The sequence below is a fragment of the Homo sapiens genome, chromosome 2, assembly GCF_000001405.40.
Source record: "Homo sapiens chromosome 2, GRCh38.p14 Primary Assembly".
NCBI classification, from domain to species: domain Eukaryota; kingdom Metazoa; phylum Chordata; class Mammalia; order Primates; family Hominidae; genus Homo; species Homo sapiens.
In genome coordinates this window covers 232,158,627-232,179,733 of record NC_000002.12, presented here as the reverse complement: position 1 = coordinate 232,179,733, position 21,107 = coordinate 232,158,627, and the positions used below count along the sequence as shown (strand labels likewise).

Here is a 21,107-nt window from a genome sequence, read left to right as displayed (position 1 = left end):
GATAGACCGCTAGCAAGACTAATAAAGAAAAAAAGAGAGAAGAATCAAATAGACACAATAAAAAATGATAAAGGGGATATCACCACCGATCCCACAGAAATACAGACTACCATCAGAGAATACTACAAACACCTCTACGCAAATAAACTAGAAAATCTAGAAGAAATGGATACATTCCTCGACACATACACTCTCCCAAGACTAAACCAGGAAGAAGTTGAATCTCTGAATAGACCAATAACAGGAGCTGAAATTGTGGCAATAATCAATAGTTTACCAACCAAAAAGAGTCCAGGACCAGATGGATTCACAGCCGAATTCTACCAGAGGTACAAGGAGGAACTGGTACCATTCCTTCTGAAACTATTCCAATCAATAGAAAAAGAGGGAATCCTCCCTAACTCATTTTATGAGGCCAGCATCATTCTGATACCAAAGCCGGGCAGAGACACAACCAAAAAAGAGAATTTTAGACCAATATCCTTGATGAACATTGATGCAAAAATCCTCAATAAAATACTGGCAAACCGAATCCAGCAGCACATCAAAAAGCTTATCCACCATGATCAAGTGGGCTTCATTCCTGGGATGCAAGGCTGGTTCAATATACGCAAATCAATAAATGTAATCCAGCATATAAACAGAGCCAAAGACAAAAACCACATGATTAACTCAATAGATGCAGAAAAAGCCTTTGACAAAATTCAACAACCCTTCATGCTAAAAACTCTCAATAAATTAGGTATTGATGGGACGTATCTCAAAATAATAAGAGCTATCTATGACAAACCCACAGCCAATATCATACTGAATGGGCAAAAACTGGAAGCATTCCCTTTGAAAACTGGCACAAGACAGGGATGCCCTCTCTCACCGCTCCTATTCAACATAGTGTTGGAAGTTCTGGCCAGGGCAGTCAGGCAGGAGAAGGAAATAAAGGGTATTCAATTAGGAAAAGAGGAAGTCAAATTGTCCCTGTTTGCAGACGACATGATTGTTTATCTAGAAAACCCCATCGTCTCAGCCCAAAATCTCCTTAAGCTGATAAGCAACTTCAGCAAAGTCTCAGGATACAAAATCAATGTACAAAAATCACAAGCATTCCTATACACCAACAACAGACAAACAGAGAGCCAAATCATGAGTGAACTCCCATTCACAATTGCTTCAAAGAGAATAAAATACCTAGGAATCCAACTTACAAGGGATGTGAAGGACCTCTTCAAGGAGAACTACAAACCACTGCTCAAGGAAATAAAAGAGGATACAAACAAATGGAAGAACATTCCATGCTCATGGGTAGGAAGAATCAATATCGTGAAAATGGCCATACTGCCCAAGGTAATTTACAGATTCAATGCCATCCCCATCAAGCTACCAATGACTTTCTTCACAGAATTGGAAAAAACTACTTTAAAGTTCATATGGAACCAAAAAAGAGCCCGCATCGCCAAGTCAATCCTAAGCCAAAAGAACAAAGCTGGAGGCATCACACTACCTGACTTCAAACTATACTACAAGGCTACAGTAACCAAAACAGCACGCTACTGGTACCAAAACAGAGATATAGATCAATGGAACAGAACAGAGCCCTCAGAAATAACGCCGCTTACCTACAACTATCTGATCTTTGACAAACCTGAGAAAAACAAGCAATGGGGAAAGGATTCCCTATTTAATAAATGGTGCTGGGAAAACTGGCTAGCCACATGTAGAAAGCTGAAACTGGATCCCTTCCTTACACCTTATACAAAAATCAATTCAAGATGGATTAAAGATTTAAACGTTAGACCTAAAACCATAAAAACCCTAGAAGAAAACCTAGGCATTACCATTCAGGACATAGGCGTGGGCAAGGACTTCATGTCCAAAACACCAAAAGCAATGGCAACAAAAGCCAAAATTGACAAATGGGATCTAATTAAACTAAAGAGCTTCTGCACAGCAAAAGAAACTACCATCAGAGTGAACAGGCAACCTACAACATGGGAGAAAATTTTTGCAACCTACTCATCTGACAAAGGGCTAATATCCAGAATCTACAATTAACTCAAACAAATTTACAAGAAAAAAACAAACAACCCCATCAAAAAGTGGGCGAAGGACATGAACAGACACTTCTCAAAAGAAGACATTTATGCAGCCAAAAAACACATGAAAAAATGCTCATCATCACTGGCCATCAGAGAAATGCAAATCAAAACCACTATGAGATATCATCTCACACCAGTTAGAATGGCAATCATTAAAAAGTCAGGAAACAACAGGTGCTGGAGAGGATGTGGAGAAATAGGAACACTTTTACACTGTTGGTGGGACTGTAAACTAGTTCAACCATTGTGGAAGTCAGTGTGGCGATTCCTCAGGGATCTAGAACTAGAAATACCATTTGACCCAGCCATCCCATTACTGGGTATATATACCCAAATGACTATAAATCATGCTGCTATAAAGACACATGCACACGTATGTTTATTGCGGCATTATTCACAATAGCAAAGACTTGGAACCAACCCAAATGTCCAACAATGATAGACTGGATTAAGAAAATGTGGCACATATACACCATGGAATACTATGCAGCCATAAAAAATGATGAGTTTATGTCCTTTGTAGGGACATGGATGAAATTGGAAACCATCATTCTCAGTAAACTATCGCAAGAACAAAAAACCAAACACCGCATATTCTCACTCATAGGTGGGAATTGAACAATGAGATCACATGGACACAGGAAGGGGAATATCACACTCTGGTGACTGTGGTGGGGAGGTGGGAGGGGGGAGGGATAGCATTGGGAGATATACCTAATGCTAGATGACGAGTTAGTGGGTGCAGCGCACCAGCATGGCACATGTATACATATGTAACTAACCTGCACAATGTGCACATGTACCCTAAAACTTAAAGTATAATTTAAAAAATAATAATAATAATAAATTAATTAATTAATTAATTAATTAAAAAATTAAAAAAAAATAGCCGGGCATGGTGGCACATGCCTGTGGTCCCAGGTACTTGGTAGGCTGAGGTAAGAGGATTACTTGAGCCTGGAAGGCGGAGGTTGTAGTGAGCCAAGATTGCACAACTGCACTCCAGCCTGGGCGACAGAGTGAGACTCCCATCTCAAGAAAAAAACAAAAACAAAACATAGAAAGATCTGAACTCAATAACATAAACTTCCACCTTAAGAAACCAAAGAAGAACAAACTAAACCTAAGCAAGCAGAAAAAAGAAAATAACAAAGATTAGAGTAGAAATAAATGAAAAAGAGAATTTAAAAAAAAAGAGAAGGAAATAAAAAGAATAAGAAGAAAATAAAAGTTGGCTATGTGAAAAGATCAACAAAATTGACAAACCCTGAGCTAAGCTGACCAAAACAGAGAGAGAGGGGGAGAGATTCAAATTACTAAACTAACAAATGAAAGAGCAAATATTACTAACAATCTTACAGAAACAATAAGGATTATAAGGGAATACTAATAACAATGGTATGCCAAGAAATTAGATAACCAAGATGCAAAAGACAAAGTTCTAGGAAGAAGCCGGGTGCGGTGGCTCACGCCTGTAATCCCAGCACTTTGGGAGGCCAAGGTGGGTGGATCAGTTGAGGTCAGGAGTTCAAGACTAGCCTGGCCAACATGGTGAAACCCTGTCTCTATGAAGAATATAAAAAACTAGCCAGATGTGGTGGTGGGCACCTGTAATTCCAGCTACTTGGGAGGCTGAAGCAGGAGAATCACTTGAACCCAGGAAGTGGAGGTTGCAGTAAGTTGAAATCGCACCACTGCACTCCAGTTTGGACAACAAGAGTGAAACTCCGTCTAAAAATAAAAAATAAAAAATTCTAGGAAGATAAACTGCAGAGGACTTAAAAATGGAAAAGTTCAATAGATCTATAAGAAAAAAGATACCGAATTAATAAACAAACCACCCCCCCACCCATCGCCGACACACACACAAAAGCACAGGGCCAGATGGCTTTACTGATGAGTTCTAGAGTGGGAGAATAAGGATCAAAAAACTACCTCTTATTGGGTACTATGCTCACTACCTGGGTGACAAAATCATTTGTACACCAAACTATAGAGACATGCAATTTACTCATATAATAAACCCGTACATACATGTACCCCCGAACCTAAAATAAAAGCTAGAAGAAAAAAAGAAAAAAAACTATACCCCAAATTCTTCACAAACTCTTCCAAAACTCATTCTATGAGGCCAGTGTTATCCTCACATAAAACCAAAGTTATCACAAGAAAACTAAAGACTGAAATCTCTTAAAAATACGAAGCAAAGATCCTAAAAAGGAATCCAGTAAACCAAATCTAGCAATGTAAAAATCATTATACACCATGACAAGGGTGAAATTTATCCCAGGAATGTGATGGCTCAACATATGATAGTCAATCAATGAAACAGATTAATAAAGAACAAAAATCACAGGATTATCTCAACAGACAGAAAAACCATTTGACAAAATCCAACACTCTTCCATGAGAAAACCACTCAATAAATCAGGACTAGAAGGAAAAGCTTTCAGCTGATAGAGAGCATCTACAAAACCCCCAAAGCTTACATTACAATTAATATTGAAAGACTGGGCTGAGTGCTTAGCTCATATCTGTAATCCCAGCACTTTGGGAGGCCGGGGCGGGCAGATCACTTGAGCCTAAGAGTTCAAGAGCAGCCCGGGCAACACAGCAAAACCCTATCTCCACAAAAAATACAAAAATTAGCTGGGTTTGGTGGCACGCCCTGTTGTCCCAGCTACGTAAGAGGCTGAGCTGGGAGGATCACTTGAGCCTGGAATTGTGAGTTGTGACTGTACCACTGCACTCCAGCCTGGCAACAGAGCAAGACGCTGTCTCAAAACAAAAAAACAAAAAAAAAACTGAATGACTGAATGCTTTCCTTCCTCAAGATCAGGACAAGAGAGGCACACTTCCATTAATTCTATTCAACACTGTACAGAAGGTCCTAGCTTGAGTAACTGGATAACAAAAGGAAATAAAAGGCATCTAAATTAGAAAGGAAGAGGTAAAACTTCCCTATTTGCAGATGACATGAACTTCTAAATACAGGAAATTCCATGGTATCCACGAAAAACAGAGCTAACAATTTTTTTTTTTTTTTTTTTTTTTTGAGGTGGAGTCTCACTCTGTTACCCTGGCTGGAGTGCAGTGGCGTGATCTCTGCTCACTGCTGCCTCCACCTCCCAGGTTCAAGCGATTCTCCTGCCTCAGCCTCCTGAGTAGCTGGGATTACAGGCACCTGCCACCAAGCCTGGCTAATTTTTGTATTTTTAATAGAGACGGGGTTTCACTATGTTACCCAGGCTGGTCTCAAACTCCTGATCTCAAGTGATCCACCAGCCTTGGCCTCCCAAAGTGCTGAGATTACAGGCATGAGCCACCATGCCCGGCCAACAAATGATTTTTGTAAGGTTGCAGGATACCAGATATATATATAAATATAAAATGTATTTCTAAACATTAGCAATAAATAATTTGGAAATGAAATTAAGAAAACAATTTCATTTACAACAGCATCAAAAAGAATAAATATGTAGGATTAAATTTAACAAAGAAGCCTTGTATACTGAAAACTACAAAACATCATTGAAAGAAATTAAAGACCTAATTAATGGACAGACATCCCATGTTCATAGGTTGGAAGACTTAACAGTGTTAAGATGGAAATGCTCCCCAAACTGATCTACAGACTCAGAGCAATTCTTATGAAAATCCTGAGTGCCTCCTGAAATTGACAAGCTGATCCTAAAATATATATGGCAATGCAAAGAACCCAGAATAGTAGAAAAATCTGAAAGAAAAAAAAGCAAAGTTGGAAGAATCACACTTCTCAATTTCAAAACTTACTACAAAGTTACAATAATTTAGACAGTGTGGTACTGGCATAAAGACAAATATACAGATCAATGGAACAGAATTGAGAGTCCAGAAATAAACCAATACATTTATGGTCAAATAATTTTTGACAAGAAATGCCAAGACAATTTCATGAAGAAAGAATCATCTTGTCAACAAGTTTTTCTTATGGTGCTGAAACAACTGGTTATCCACAAGCAAAAAAATGAAGTTTGACCCATACCTCACACCATTTACAAAGATTAACTAAAAATGGATCATAAATATAACAACTAACAGTATAAAGTTCATAGAAGAAAACTTATGTTGGCCAGGCACGGTGGCTCATGCCTATGATCCCAGCACTTTGGGAGGCTGAGGCTGGTGGATCACTTGAGGTCAGGAGTTGGAGACCAGCCTGCCCAGCATAGCAAAACCCCATCTCTATAAAAACACAAAAAAATTGGCAGGGTGTGGTGATGGGTGCCTGCACTCCCAGCTACTTGGGAGGCTGAGGCAGGAGAATCGCTTGAACCAGGGAGGCAGAGGTTGCAGCTGAGCTCGCACTACTGCACTCCAGCCTGGATAACAGAGACGCCATCTCAAAACAAACAAACAAAAAGAAAACATATGTCTAACTCTTTGTGATCTTCGCCAATGGTTTTTATAGATATGACACCAAAAACACAAGCAACCAAAGAAAAAACAGACTAAACGGGTCTTCATCAAATTTTGAAACTTTGTGCTTCTAAGAACACCATCAAGAAAGTGCAAGATAGCCAGCCCACAAGTAGGAGAAAATATCTGCAAATCATATATCTGATAAATGACCAGTGTTTGGAATACAGAAACTACACTTATAGCTCAACAATAGAAAGGCAATCCATTTTAAAAATGGCAAAGGATCTGAATAGATACTATCTGAGTAGATTTTTCTTCAAAGAAAATATACAAATGACCAATAAGCACATCAAAATACATTCAGTCTCATTAGTCATGACAGAAATGCAAATCAAAACCACAATGAGATACTACCCCACACCTACAATGATGGCTATAATCACAAATACAGATAACAAGTGTTAGGATATGGAGCAACTGAGACCCTCATACATTGCCACAGGGAGTGCAAATGGTACAGCTACTTTGAAAAACAGTTTCACAATTACTCTAAAAGTAGACTGACCATATGACCTAGCAATTTCACTCCTAGGTGTATACCCAAAATAACTGAATGTCCACACCAAAACCTGTACACAAATATTCATAGCAGCATTATTCATAATAGTCAAGCTGGGGAATCAACCCAAATGTCCATCAACTAATGAATAAACAAAATGTGAAATATCCATACAACAGAATATTATTCAGCTATAAAATGGAATTACGTTCTGATATATTTAACAACATGGATGAACCTTGAAAACATTATGTCAAGTAAACCACGTCAGCTACCAAAGGCAACTTGCTGTATGACTCCATTTATATGAAATGTTCAGAACAGGGAAATCCACAGAGACTGAAAACTGATGAGTAGTTGTGAGAAGCTGGGGGGAGAGGGAATGAGGAGTGACTGCTAATGGAATTGATTTTTGGGGTGACAAAAATGTTCTGGAATTAGATAGTGGTGATGGTTCAACAAATCTACCAATATACGAGAAACCACTGAATTTAAAATGATTAATTTTGTGGTATTTGAATATCTCAATATAAAAAACAGACTTTGCCACCCTGACATTTAGTTATCTCTATACTCCAGTTTATTCCAAATCTTAGACCATCTATACCACAAAATGAAATTTTTAAATATCATTATAGTATAATTTCCAAACAGATTTTATTTAGAAGATGTAGAAATTATCTTTCCCATGCACTCATATTTCTACAGTGCTATAAAAATATTTCTAGGGAATAAATTCAAATATTGTCTTTTGCCAGTAGGCATTTTTCCTCCTGGTTCAGACAAAAATCTATTGATCTTTGAGTATTTGTCTTTTCTGAGAGTGGTGCTATTTATCAACATGAATTTTATGGGCTGATGAAGTACTAAATACTTACAATTAAGAAGGTCCAGTTGTGTATCTACTTTAGGGCCCATTCATCCTGGTTACTATCTATGCATTTCTTGTAATTTCACAGTGAGTTGGGATTTACATGAAAGGAATACTACTGCCAGGAGTTTCAAATGACAATGACAGCTTCCCCATTTGATGCCAAACAATTTAATCTTGCTTCCCTCCAGCTAAGGGAAGAAGGGGTTCCCTTGGCCATCGAAGAACTGAGATTTAAAGCACAACCCTTGAATTTCCTGCGTAATTATCTTTCCTGGGTGGTCCATGGTGGGGCACAGTTGATAGTTATTTGTCAGATAAATGCGGCAGACAATCACTGATGGGATACCATTTTCTTTCAAATCCAAGAATGAGACAGCTCTAAATAACTCAGAAAAGACATTTCAAATACAGAGTCATGCTCTGTTAGAGCTAGAGGGGTTTGAAATACCTAGTTCAGAAAGTTGCAAAATGTATTCTAAGGAATACTAGTTCCACAAGATAATCCATGAGAAGAAACTCTAAGAAATCTATTAACACACTGTTTTCCAAAAATACTTGCCCACAGATCCTTTTTCTGCATGACACCTATTCATGACCTAGTAACATGTTTTGAAAAATCCTAATCTGGTCAAAAATCCATTTCACAAAAGATAAAATTGCTCACGGCTCTCCACTTCCCCAGATTTAACTGGTTTGCCTAAAATCACCTAGCTAGGCCCTGGGGAGAACTAGGACTAACTTCCAGCGCTCCTTCAATGCTACCACACTGTCTTACCAGGGGAACCTTCTTCTAAAGGCAATTTAATCATATTGGACTTCCTGATGAACAGCAAGATCATTAGTCATTTAATGTTAGTTATGTTTGAAAGCTTTCCCACAAAAGGGTTGACCTGAAAGAGGTTAGTATTATATGACTCTCCTTTCAAGTTGCTATTTCAAGGTTGGTTTTACCTGGAGTGACAGGAAATTTCTGTCTCTTTGGAACAGCTCCATCTTGAAGATTTTTCAATATTTCTTACCACAACCCCCTTTCTGTGCTTAGTATTTTTAGCTCATTGTTTTCTATTTTGGCAGCCGAGAAGCTGCAGTTTGTAATTTTACCTCCAGCTTCATATTTCTTCTTAAAAGTGAATACAATGTCCTGTTTATAATAATAAAATCACTAGTTGGCAGGACGACATTAAATGGGAAAAAAAGAGAGAAAGCAATTGGAAAATTTAGAGCAAGCAATTTTAAGTGCCAAGTTTCACATTTGTAATGGTCTGGTGGAGGTCACTGGGCTTCCTTTTTATTGAGGGAATAGTAAGGAAATAGATACCCACAAGTTCTCTTGTAAAAAGCTATAGAAACCACCTCCACTTCAATGAAACTCATAGTTTTACTGAAAAGTGACATGATTCAAACTTCCATAATAATACTAACTATAGGAGAAACATAAAGATCGGTTTAGTGTGGTATTTTCCCCCTCCAATATTTAGGTTTTCATTTTCCACTTTAATTGAGCTTTTAGGCTTTGGTTTCCTGTTCCAGTTTAGCAACAAAGGAAACAAAACAATATGAATGAAATTTGAAATAACTGGAGCCAGTCTCAGAAATAACTTCTGGGTTTCTTGAGCTTCTGGTGCAACCCCCCTTTAAGCAGTTTCCTTGGACATATTATCTTCCTGATCCTCAAATTTCTGCAGTACTTATGTTGCTTTTCTTTTTTAAAGCCTCAGATGCCCTGCTAAAGACAGCTACAGGTCTAGGCCATGCAAGCAGGGACTCTCCAGAGACTAGAGCTGAAGGTCCAGAAAAATGGTGACCCCAATCAGGAGGGCTATATCGCCCCTAGGAGTTCATGCAAGCCTAACTTCTTGAAAATTGCTAACCGACCATTTTTCTTTTCAAAATAAACACTATTTCTCTCAACTTCAGTTTGCAAAATATTACCCCAATTCCATTGGACCAAAAAACTGGAATTTTACTGACATAATTGGATTATGAGGTTTAAAGATTGATGGAACTTTTCTGTTCCAAATATAATTGTTCAAATACCAAACCTAAACGGGTATGTAGAAGTTCTTATGTAGCTAGAGCCAGAGTAACACTGCAGGCTCTGAGGCAGGATGACCCAGGACAGGGGATTAAGTGACCAAACCATAGGACTTGCAAGCCCTGTTAGAGAAGGATCTTAGAGTCTGAAGGGAACATACTGCCTTTCTGCAGACATGGACTATCACTAAAATGAAGACAACTTTAGTCACTCTATTTCCCTCTATACCTGCTCATTTCTCAGATCTCACCTCATGCACCAATGACCCTGGCAGTCTGTTCATACCTATATTACAGCACTTGCCATTGTCTGCTGTAATTTATCTGAGTACGAATCTGTCTACCTGAAGAACAGGGGCTGGCCCTTGGTTGTCTTTGCATTTTCAGTGGCTAACTCAGTACTTGGCATATATGTATATATATATATATGACATATACGGCATATATGACATATACTATATATAAACAATATGTGCAAATAAATGTTTGAAAAAGGTTTGATTTTATTAGTTTACAAAATGTATATTAATTTATTCAATATAGCACATATTTTTCAGCATGTGCTGGGACTCAATCTTACTTCTTTTGACATTCCTAGGAAAATCAATACTGTTTTTAAAAACTCTTTGAAAGCAGTGGACCTCAGAGCAGAAGAAATCACATGATCACAAACACTTGCACCAAGCACCCCCTCCTTCATTACAATTCCACATTTGACTACTGCTTAATAGTTTCATTCATGTTCTTCTGCCACCAAACTGAGAGTTCCACAAGGGCAGTGAATACATCTATTTTTGTTCACTGTTGTATCCTCAGTGCCCATGGTTGGTGTTCCATAAATATTTTTGGTATAAAAACTGAATGACTCCATCATAAAACCAGTCAAAGAAAAGGAAAAGGTTATCAGATCCAAATACCTCCACATGCTTACCTACTGCTGTACAGTACTGCATGCTAACCAACTACATCACTGGAGCTCATTCCACACACTTATGGCTTCTCTTTATGTGTGTTAAAAATAAGGAATTAACTGACACTACATAACTACATGAATTAACCCTGGCACCCTCACTATGTGTGGGTCAGGTGGTAGGTGAGGTGTACAGATGAAAAAGTTGGCGTTCTGCAACACAAAGGCAATGACAGTGGCACTCTTGGTTCCTATGCTTTTGCCAAGTGCAAATAATGGGTCTTTACTCATGCCCAGATACATGGATTTATGGATATTGTCTAGTTTTAGCTAAACTAATCCTTGCAAAAAAAAAGGCAACTGGCTAAAAAAAGATTACTGCAAAGTCCATATATTGAAGATAATACTAAACCACTAATACTCCTAGTAGTATCATTAACACTAGAAAAATGGCAACACTGACATTTCTTCTGTGTCTAATATGAATTCATCTCCAGCCACATTATAATTTCAAAACAATGGCTATCAGTCATATGTTACCTATCAGATACTTTAGGAAAATTAAACATGCTTAATCTGTCCCTTCAAGGTAAAGGTGATATTTTAACAATAAGAAAAAAAATTATTGCATTTTGAAAACAAAATAACATACTCGAATTTTAAAGATAACATTTTTTTAAATGGATGTTTTGAAATACTTCCATTGTTATATTATTTGGGGACTAAAATGATGTAAGTGTATAAACTACAAAAACATTCATATCCATAGACTTAAACTTCCTAATAGAATTATTTTTATTTATTTTTATTTTTTTGAGACAGAGTCTTGCTCTGTCACCCAGGCTGGAGTTCAGTGGCACAATCTCGGCTCACTGTAACCTCTGCCTCCGGGTTCAAGCAATTCTCCTGCCTCAGCCTCCCGAGCAGCTGGGATTACAGGTGGCTGCCACCACACCCGGCTAATTTTTGTATTTTTAGTGAGACAGGGTTTCACCATGTTGGCCAGGCTGGTCTCGAACTCCTGACCTCAGGTGATCTGTCCACCTTGGCCTCCCAAAGTGCTGGGATTACAGGTGTGAGCCAATGTGCCTGGCTGAATTTTTTAACTAGTTTTTAAAGATAACAACTAAAGAGTAACTGGAGATTATAAATCTATTTTTTTAATCTAAAAACGCAGCACCTTTCAATGAATCCACAAGAACTGACATCAGAAAAGATGGAAATTTACTAGCTGAATTTCAAAATGAATTGGAATATAATTGGCGAATAGGACTGAGAAATGAGTATTAGGATTTTGTAAGCACAGCTCACATCTTCTAAACATATATCCTTTTCAATTATGATAATCATCAAAACCAAGTACCAAAACATACAGAACTTAGAATCAGATCTCTGAATTTCCATATTATTAGTTGTTAAAGTAAAATTTTAATAAATAAAGAATATTATTCAACCATACTGCTTTCACCAAAAGTAAAATTACTATATAAACAGTTTTCTATACTTTTCGTAAGTAAAATGAAAATATTTAAAAATTTATTTCTCATTACATTTTTATTTTTCTATTTTCACTTACATTTATAATGTACGTAATAGACTATCAATGTAGTAAATTCATGTATAGTTTTAAAATAAAGACAAGCATTAGTGGTAATTTACTATATTACTTCTTGATGCCTAAAGTAGTAATTTCTAAACTTCAGACATTACTACTTTAGGCATTAAGAAACATTAGAAAAAATTTAAATGCAAAGGAGTAAAATAAATCAGATTTGAATTTTAGAAACATAATCCTGAGGATAATGGGCAAGGATAACCTATTTTAAGGTTAAAGTAATTTTTTTTTTTTTTTGACTGAGACGCACTCTATCGTCCAGGCAGTGGCATGATCTCAGCTTGCTGCAACCTCTGCCTCCTGGGTTCAAGCAATTCCCCTGCCTTGGCCTCCCAAGTAGCTGGGATTATAGGCACCTGCCACCATGCACAGCCAATTTTTGTATTTTTAGTAGAGATGAGGTTTCACCATGTTGGCCACGCTGGTCTCCAACTCCTGACCTCGAGTGATCCACCCACCTTGGCCTCCCCAAATGCTGGGATTATAGGTGTGAGCCACCGTGCCCAGCCCAAAGTAATTTTTTGTTGTTGTTGTTGATGGAGTCTCGTTCTGTCGCCACGCTGGATTGCAGTGGTGCGATCTTGGCTCACTGCAACCTCCGCCTCCCGGGTTCAAGCGATTCTCCTGCCTCAGCCTCCTAAGTAGCTGGGACTACAGGCGCGTACTACTATGCCCAGCTAATTTTTGTATTTTTAGTAGAGATGAGGTTTCACCATGTTGGCCAGGATGGTCTCGATCTCATGATCTGCCAGCCTCCGCCTTCCAAAGTGCTAGGATTACAGGCGTTGAGCCACGGCGCCCGGCCCAAAAGTAATTTTTTAAAAAATCCTTGTTACTTCATGAATAGCAGAGAGCACCCTACAAACTCCTTCTGTCTTTGGATCCTTTCACAGGGCGCGCGCGCACGCGTGTGTGTGTGTGGTGTGTGTATTTAAGATATATTTTAACAAAGGCTTTCTGCAGAGCAAGGTTTCTTTTCTTTTTTCCCTTAGACAGAGTCTTGCTCCGTTGTCCAGGCTGGAGTGTAGCGGCATGATTATAGCTCACTGCAGCCTCAAACTCCCAGGCTCAAACAATCCTCCCGCCCCAGCTTCCCAAGTAGGCACACACCACTGTGCCTGGCTAATATTTTATTTATTTATTTATTTATTTATTTATTTATTTATTTATTTATTGTAGAGACAGGGTCTCACTAAGGACCTCTTATTCTATGGTCTAAACCAGAAGGCAATAAAGGTCAAAGAAATGGCAAGATAGAGCCATGAGAGGGGAATTTACTGCAATATTGGGCCCCATAACTACTAACATGCTTATTATTTACCAGTAGGCTAAAAGGCTAGAAAAAATGGAATACTTCTATTTTGTGACTTTCACATTTATAATTTTTTAAAGTTATACAAGTTACTTTAAAAAAGATTTGGACCAGGTGTGGTGGCTCACGCCTGTAATCCCAACACTTTGGGAGGCCAAGGCAGGAAGATCTCTTGAGGCCAGGAGTTCAAAACCAGCCTGCTCAACATAGCAAGACCCCATCTCTACAAAAGTAAAATAAAAGAATTAGCCGGGTGTGGTCGCACATGCTTATAATCCCAGCATTTTGGGAGGCTAAGGCAGAAGATCACTTGAGCCCAAGAATTCAAGGCTGCAGTGAGCGATGACTGCACCACTGCACTCCCGCCTGGGCAACAGAGTGAGATGCTGTCTTAAAAATAATAATAATAATTTGAATAGTATGGCAGTATGCAAAATGAAAAGTCAAAGTTCACTTCCCTGTTGCCTTACCACTCCACTGAATCCACTCTCCATGGTAGTCACTGTTAACAGTTTATTTCCTTCCAGGCCTTTTTCTATGCATATATACTTTGATGTGTATACGTATACACACATATATGTATATGTGTATATTTATGTAGTTTTTGTATTACTTTACAAAATATAGGCTCATATTCATATTGTTTTGAAACTTGCTTGACTTAATAATATATTATAGCTATTCTTTTAGGAAAGTCAACATGGATATAGCTCCTTTTTGCAGAGCTGCAAGGAATGCTATCATATTGACATAACACAGGTTACTAAACCATTCCTTTATTAATGGACATTAGCAGTGTCTTTAATGTTTAACTTTTATGACAAGACAGCAATGAACATTCTTGTACATATATTTTTGTACACTTCGAGTAGAGTTTGGGGTGCAGGAGTAGGTACATTTAAAATGTTGATAGATACTGCAGCATGGCTACACTAAATTCTACTAAACAATAATGTTCAACCATTTATTCTAGCATTCTTTTCCCATTAAATCATTAGATAGATTCCTAGATTCAGGAAATGACCTCAGAAAACAAACCCCTCAATTTGTATATGAGAAAACAAAGGTTCAGAGAGGTTAATGTTATGGGCCCAAGACCTCGGAGCCCCTGAAGAGATAACACACCCATGTGCTAGCAGGGGTTCAGTGATAGAGGGGTTATTATGAAAATCCAGCAATGCAATATGGGTTAACTGACTTCAAATGTAATATGTGTTCTATGAGAGATACTAACAAGTAGGAAAGGGGACTAATGATCATCTCCTTTTCCTTGCCTAACCTCAATAAGAAAAGAAAAAGGCAGTAAATTACTAAAAGATACAATAGTAAGAAGGTACAGAGAGGGAGTATTCACAAACTAGGTGGGTAACAGGCACCCAGAGCTGAAGGTGTCATAAGTTCAGCTGCATGAAGCGAGCAAGTGTGGTGGAAAAGACTTTGACATGGGATGACCTTAGCAAAAACCTTCCACAGCCTCAGTGGGTTGTATGAAAAGTTTCTTGGTTCTAAATATCTCCATGTGGCATCCAAAATGAGTGCCAGTACTGAAACCAAATTCTGAAGAGAAATATCAGAAAAGAACTAACATCCCACAATGAAGAAACATCTTCAAAGAAGATGTTGTTATAAAAATACCACGAAAGTACTTTCCAACAAATTCCAGACCTAAAAGTAAGGCTTTAAAATGAGGCTCCAAGTACAGAAGTCTTGAATCCTTTGCTCTGTGCCTGAAGAGGCCCATTTAAAGGAAGGCACTTCTCACTAGATAACAGTCTGTACTTGACCAGATCTATGGCAATGAGAAGATAGGCACTGTAGCTTTTGAAGTTAGAATGGTCTAGAACAGGGATCAGTAAACTTTTTCTGTAAAAGGCTGACAGTAACTACTTTTGGCTTTGCAGGCCATATGGTCTTGGTTGCAACTAATCAACTGGGCTGTTGTAGGGCAAAAAACAGCCATAAGCAACATAGATAATGAATAAGCATGGCCATGTTCCAATGCAACTTTATGGTCGCAGAAATCTGAATTTCATATAATTTTCATAAAACATTATTCTTGTTTTAATTTTTTCCAACCATTTAAAAATGTAAAAACCATTCTTAGCTCATGGGTTGTACATAAACAGGTAGTAGGCTAGATTTAGCCTGTGGGCCATAATTTGCCAACTGTGGTACAGAAGCACCTATTCCCAACTGAACTGAACTTGAATGTTCGTGGAAAGATGAAAACATCTAAGCCTAGCCCCTAGGAAAGTTAAGGCAGAAAGGGAGATATACGTTCTTAAAGGGTTTCAGGTGCTTACCTTAAATCCCTTCTCTTGCTGAACTCCTCTGGTGGAATTGTCCATGGCAGGCCTTGAGGAAGACATTCTAGAACTTCTGAAGAGAAATCAGAGAAATCCACGCCATACTCTGTTAGTATTCCTTCTGTTTCAGGCTCAATTTCACCAGCCTGCCCAAGACTCTTAGCCAGCTGCCTATGGATAGAACAGAAACGGAATAACTGGGTTAGCAAACAAATGGAACATAGGTACCTGTCTCCTCTCTAAAAGTAAAGTAGTGGGAAAGTTTAAAATCTCCTGCCCTTCCACCAGTAGAAACATGATCATCCGTAAATCACTGGCAATGGGAAAGCAGAAGACACAGTAATGCTCTTCTCCTGTTAAATCGGTAACTACAGTGTAATTTCACCTTTTTTTATTTGACATTCTGACTTGAGAAACAGAGCCAGAAGGCTTTCCTTAGGACCCCTCCAATTGTTCTTCACAGAGAAGTCAAAATTGATATTATGATCAATCCAGTGTGCTATTAAATCATTAGTTTCAGAGTGCCTGTACGTTAAGTCATGCTTACTAGATTAATTCTGATGTTCCTATTTCACAACTCTACCAGTTTTTAATCTTTAAAATTTTAAAATATTTTATCTAAACACAAAAGTAATATACGTTCATTGCAAAGAAGTTAGAAAACACAAAATCCACTGAGAAGAAAATTAAAATTATCCATAAACCAGTCACCCATGCACATTTTAGGGCACTGGCCCATTAAAAATAAAATTGCATTTAACAGGACAATGCTAACATTATGAACAGGGTTCCACCTTTCAGAAGGCAGATCTCACTCCTTACCAAATTGACAGCTCTCTATTCTCATAAGCATTGTCATGCCACATACAGATCACAAGTCTAAATTTGTGCGTTGAATACAGGCAGCCAACAGGAAATGTGTTATGGGCCTTGGCTGCCTTTGTAGAGGGTATTGCGGAGACCAAAAATGGCCATCTCCTCTGTTGTACAAGTCTACTTATCTACCAGGGTGCTCCAAGAGTCCGCCCTCAGCACTTTCTGCAAGAAATTTAGCTATGGCATCAGGACATTCTCTCAGGCTATTCGATTTCTATGAAAAAGGTTCTGTTTCCTAAATAAGGGTAGATGCTTGGCTGCTGGAGTTCTTATGTGCACAGTGGTAAAGAGGAATAGGGGAGGTGGTTGCCTCATAAGCAGACTTTTAACAAATTCCAATCTTCAGCCTTGCCACTGGAATGCAGCAGTGATGGCAGCAGGGCTGGCCCCATTTCTCACACTAGTCAAGAGAGACCAGCCCAGTCTACTTGTGCACCCGCCCACCAGCCTATGATCTCGGCAGCCTGCAGACTGACCTGTGGGCTCCTCCCATATGATGTGGACTCAGAAGAGTACTTTCTCCACAAATGGGTGGTCTCTCCCATAAAACACATCAAAAAGCCAGACAGCAAAAATATGAGAGAAAAATTAACAGAAAGCAATCTGGAAAATCCCCAAATATGTGGAAATCCAACAACCCATAGGTTAAAGAAGAAATAAAAAAAGAATTAGAAAATATTTTGGACCAGGTGCAGTGGCTCACGCCTGTAATCCTAGCACTTTGGGAGGCTGAGGCAGGCGGATCACAAGGTCAGGAGATCGAGACCATCCTGGCCAACATGGTGAAACCCCGTCTCTATCAAAAATACAAAAATTAGCTGGGCGTGGTGATGCGTGCCTATAATCCCAGCTACTCAGGAGACTGAAGCAGGAGAATCCCTTGAACCAGAGAGTCAGAGGTTGCGGTGAGCCGAGATCATGCCAGTGCACTCCAACCTGGTGACAGAGTGAGACTGTCTCCAAAAAAAAAAAAATTGAACTGGGGTCAGGCACGGTGGCTCACATCTGTAATCCCATCACTTTGGGAGGCCAAGGCGGGTGGATCACTTGAGGCTAGGAGTTTGAGACCAGCCTGGCCAACGTGGTGAAACCCCGTTTCTACTAAAAATACAAAACTTAGCTGGGTGTGGTGGTACACACCTGTAATTCCAGCTATTCGGGTGGCTGAGGCAAAGGAATCACTTAAATCCAGGAAATGGAGGTTGCAGCGAGCCAAGATGGCATTACTGCACTGCAGGCTGGGCGACAGAGCGAGATGCTATCTCAAAAAAGAAAGGAAAGGAAGTAATGGAGAGAGGGAGGAAGGGAATTTTGAATTGAATGAAAACATAACATGTCAACATTTGTGAGAAGTAGCTAAAATAGTGGTTGGAGGGTAATTTACAGCATTAAATGCTCACATCGGAAAGGAAGAAAAGTGTCAAATCAGTGATCTAAGCTTCTACGTTAAAAAACTGAAGAACAAATTAGATTCCAGGTAAGGAGAAGGACAGAAATAATGAAGAAACAAGAATCAATGAATAGAAAATGAACAAATAGGCTGGGCGCGGTGGCTCACGCCTGTAATCCCAGCACTTTGGGAGGCCAAGGCAGGAGGATCATGAGGTCAAGAGATTGAGACCATCCTGGTCAACATGGTGAAACCCCGTCTCCACTAAAAATACAAAAATTAGCTGGGCGTGATGGTGCATGCCCGCAGTCCCAGCTACTCTGGAGGCTTAGACAGGAGAAACGCTTGAACCCGGGAGGCGGAGGTTGCGGTGAGCCGAGATCACGCCACTGTACTCCAGCCTGGGCAACAGAGTGAGAGTCTGTCTCAAAAAAACAAACAAACAAACAAACAAAAATGAATGAATAATGAAAACAAATCAATAAAACAAAAAACTAATTCTATTTTTTAGACAGGGTCTCACTCTGTCACCCAGGCAGAAGTGCAGTGGCACAATCATGGCCCACTGCAGCCTCGACTTCCCAGGCTCAAGCAATACTCCCACCTCAGCCTCCTGAGTAGCTGAGGCCCATCTAATTTTTGTATTTTTTGTAGAGATGGGGTTTTGCCACGTCGCCCAGGCTGGGACTCGAACTCCTGAGCTCAAGCAATCTGCCCACCTCGGCCTCCCAAAGTGCTGGGATTACAGCTTTGAGCCACCACACCTGGCTCAAAAGCTAATTCTTTGAAAAGAGAAAAACAGATAAATTTCTAGCCTGACTGATCAAGAAAAACAAGGAGGGAAAAACACAAATTACCAATATCAAGAATGAGAGAGGAGACACCATTTTACATCCCACAAGCATTAAAAGGATAAGGGAATAATGAATGACTTTAAGACAATAAATTCAACATCTTGGATGAAATGGGCAAATTCCTTGAAAGATGCAAACTGCCTAGGATAATTAAAATAAATTGATACTTGAATATTCCTATTTAATCTACCTATTATCTATTTTATCTAATGTATCTATTAAAGAAACTGAATTCACAGTTTGAAACCTTCCCACATAGAAAACTCCAGACCCAGATGGCTTCACTGGTGAATTCTACCAAGTATTTAAGAAAGAATTATTGCCAATTCTACATAAACTCTTCTAGAATAAAGAGGTAGATGGCATACTTTCCAACTAGTTTAATGAAGACAGCAGTACCTTGATATCAAAACCAAAGGATTAATGAGATCAATACCTCTCATAGACTTAAAATTCTTACAAAGGTATATCAGTTATTGAAAAAGAAAATTTAAAACTTCTTACAAGGTCATTAGCAAATAGAATTCAGTAATATATAAAAAAGGTGATACATCATGACCAAATAATGCAAGATTTGTCCAACAATGAAACATCAATCAATACAACATATTAACAAACAAAAAACAAACACATATAATCATCTCAGTAAATGAAGAAAAAGCATTTGACAAAATTTCAACATTCACTTAAGATAAAAGCCCTCAGCACATGAGTAACAGGAATTTCTTCAACTTGGTTAAAGGCCTCTATGAGAATCCTAGCACTAATGTAAAACTTAGTGGTGAAAAGTGAAATGCTTTCCCTTGGAGCAGAAAGAAGACAAAGTGTTCATTTTCACCAATACTATTTAACATTGTACTGGAGGTACTAGTGAATGCCATAAAGTAAGAAAAAGAAGGGGCATACAAACTGGAAAGGAAGAATTGCACGTTGCCTATAAGCAGGACAAAGGACTACAATTCCCGTCATGGAAGTGACCAGCTTCCTACTACATAATGCCTGGCCTCTCTTTATACAAGCCTCCTCTCACTCTGTGAGAACCAAAATCCAGTACACTGTGTGTGACTTAAACTCTGCCTCAACTCAAGACTTTGAATGTGTAGACAGAAACACAAAGACAAAAGGCTGCTTAGGATTCACTCATGACAGCTAGAATGGCTTCTCGTGATAGCAGCGGTGGCAGCAGCATCCAGTGAAAATGGTGTCCTGCAAGAGTGGTGGTAAGAGAATAACTGGCATTACAGCCAAACTAATCCTGATAAAAGATGATGGTTGGGCTTCTTGTTCTTGGCTTTCCAGAGCTGCCTTAGTTCACATCCCTTTTCAGGTCATTCAAGTCTTTTGCTCAGTGAGCTCTTCAGTATCCTCCCAATAAATTCCTTTCCCAACCAGAGTTGGTTTTTCTTGCTTGTAACCAGGAACCCAGACAATTAAAGACTCAGGTCCCATTAATTTTCAAAATGACTAAATTATTACCTGTGTTCACTAGAGTGAAGTTCCAACTGAAGATATGGGGGACCTATTATCCCAACCTTTGAAATTTGAAGGACACAGGAATTCAACACTGTGAGTACAAGACGAATACTTATAACAATGTTGTTTAGGTTAAAGACAACTTTATTCTGGTGATGACAGGTAATAATTAGTAATTTTAAAAATTATTTTGTATTCTGAAAATTAATGGAATCTGAGTTACTTCCAACCCATCTAACTCATTTATTATTCTCACAGGTCCCTGAGGTTCTGTTTCCTACATTCGTCTCCTAATATCAATGTCTTTAACTGTCTGTCTGGGTTCTTGTTTGTAAGCACAAAAGACCAGTGCTGTTTGGAAAAGAAAAAAAGAAATTTCTTGAAAGGATATCAAAGGGCTCACAGAAACA

At 38.8% G+C, this 21,107-nt stretch overlaps 1 protein-coding gene and 1 non-coding gene across 5 annotated transcripts in view; both read right to left on the bottom strand.

The window, feature by feature from the left end:
* DIS3L2 (DIS3 like 3'-5' exoribonuclease 2) overlaps window positions 1-21,107 on the bottom strand; it is a 382,638-nt gene that overhangs the window by 164,617 nt on the left and 196,914 nt on the right. For all 4 annotated transcript variants that reach the window (NR_046477.2, NR_046476.2, NM_001257281.2 and 1 more), the window contains one exon: window positions 16,102-16,275. Coding sequence is in view for 2 of the 4 variants with exons in the window: in NM_001257281.2 (NP_001244210.1) it covers window positions 16,102-16,275 (174 nt within the window). In the remaining 2 variants the exon portion in view is untranslated. The remainder of the gene's footprint in view (window positions 1-16,101; window positions 16,276-21,107) is intronic.
* Window positions 6,987-7,081, bottom strand: MIR562 (microRNA 562). The gene has a single exon (NR_030288.1). It is a non-coding gene; the product is annotated as a microRNA 562 (primary transcript).